We start from the raw sequence: 1,332 nt of genomic DNA, 5'->3' as shown, positions 1-1,332 counted from the left end.
GCCAGTATGAGAGAAGCAGACCAAGTTTACCCACCCTACAATGCAAGCTACTGGGCTTTACTGACCCTGGTAGGGGGGGAAGGGTAAGAACATTAAGTAAACATGAATCTACGTTTTTAAATCTGTAGGATAGAATCTCAGTAACTGAATTACATTGTTGTAATAACCCAAGGTGAGTAACAAGTCATGGAATCAGACTAAAATATTCAAAAGTGATCTTGATACTCAGCAAAAATAATGGTAACAGAACAGAGTGGGTAAGAGTTACAGGTAAAATAAAGCCATTTGATGTTTATACTTGACAGAGATGAAACTCTTCACAGAGTACAGCAGAAAATTTACAGAAGCAAAGCATAAACAAAGTGGTTTCATTATCTGGCTAATAAGCTGACTTGATCAATATCAGCTCATTGAATGACACCAGCATGATGGAGGGACACCATATATTTAAGGATAACAGCAATTTGCGAGTGATTTTAAACGTCCAATTAAACCCTGCCCTTACATCAATTCCTCTCAGGATTATAGAGCTTGGTTTACCTCTCACTAACTAATTAAGAAGTGAATGCCAAGAAATTAGGATGCCTGAAAACACATGGTGAATTCTGCTGAACTTTTAGAATTGAAACATGGAGGGTGAATTAGATCTTCTGTAACATGTGCTTATGCTTTGGAAAGTGCATCATCTTAGAGATGCTGCTTCTCTGATTGTTACATTGACAAAGGTGAGCGGCACCATAGTGAGAGATAATGGGTGGCTTTAAATGAGCCATAAAGGAAGTCTATTGACTAAAGCTAATTGCTTGTCACCCATGGTTGCCTTTGAAAACTAAGTAGTCATTTCATGCAACATAGAAAATTAGAAATATGTGATTATGCCTTCAATTTGGATAAAAACTAGCCATTGTTTTTTTCAATAAAAAATTTTGATGCTTACAAGAAAAAAAAAATCCCTGTAGAGTTTTAAATGTGGGATTCTGCATTATGGTTGGGAAGCTATACTCTTTCAGCTATTGGAAGGATCTGCCTAATTCCTTTTCATTCTGTGATATCATTTCCCTCTAACCTTTAATAAGGTATAATTGACAATGAAAATTATATGTATTTAAGGTGAACAGTATGACTTTTTGATATACATATATTGTGAAACAAATATCACTATCAAGCTAATTAACGTATTTGTCACCTTTTTGTGTGTGTGCTGAAAAGATTTAAGATCTACTCTCTTAGCAACTTTCAGGTATACATAGTGTTATTAACTATAGCCATCATGCTGTCAATTAGGTCTCCAGAACTCTTTCATCCTACATAACTAAAACGTTGTACCCTGAC

General features: G+C 35.4%; 1 annotated feature.

Moving 5' to 3' along the window:
• Positions 242–773: an enhancer, noted in NCBI's record as "OCT4-NANOG hESC enhancer chr14:47287501-47288032 (GRCh37/hg19 assembly coordinates)". NCBI's record gives its function as "activates a minimal SCP1, AML or CMV promoter by ChIP-STARR-seq in primed H9 embryonic stem cells {active_cell/tissue: H9 hESC(primed)}" and the evidence as "EXISTENCE:reporter gene assay evidence [ECO:0000049][PMID:30033119]".

Source organism: Homo sapiens, chromosome 14 (genome assembly GCF_000001405.40).
Source record: "Homo sapiens chromosome 14, GRCh38.p14 Primary Assembly".
NCBI classification, from domain to species: Eukaryota; Metazoa; Chordata; class Mammalia; order Primates; family Hominidae; genus Homo; species Homo sapiens.
Note: the sequence above shows the minus strand (reverse complement) of the source record. Positions and strands in the feature narration are given on the sequence as shown.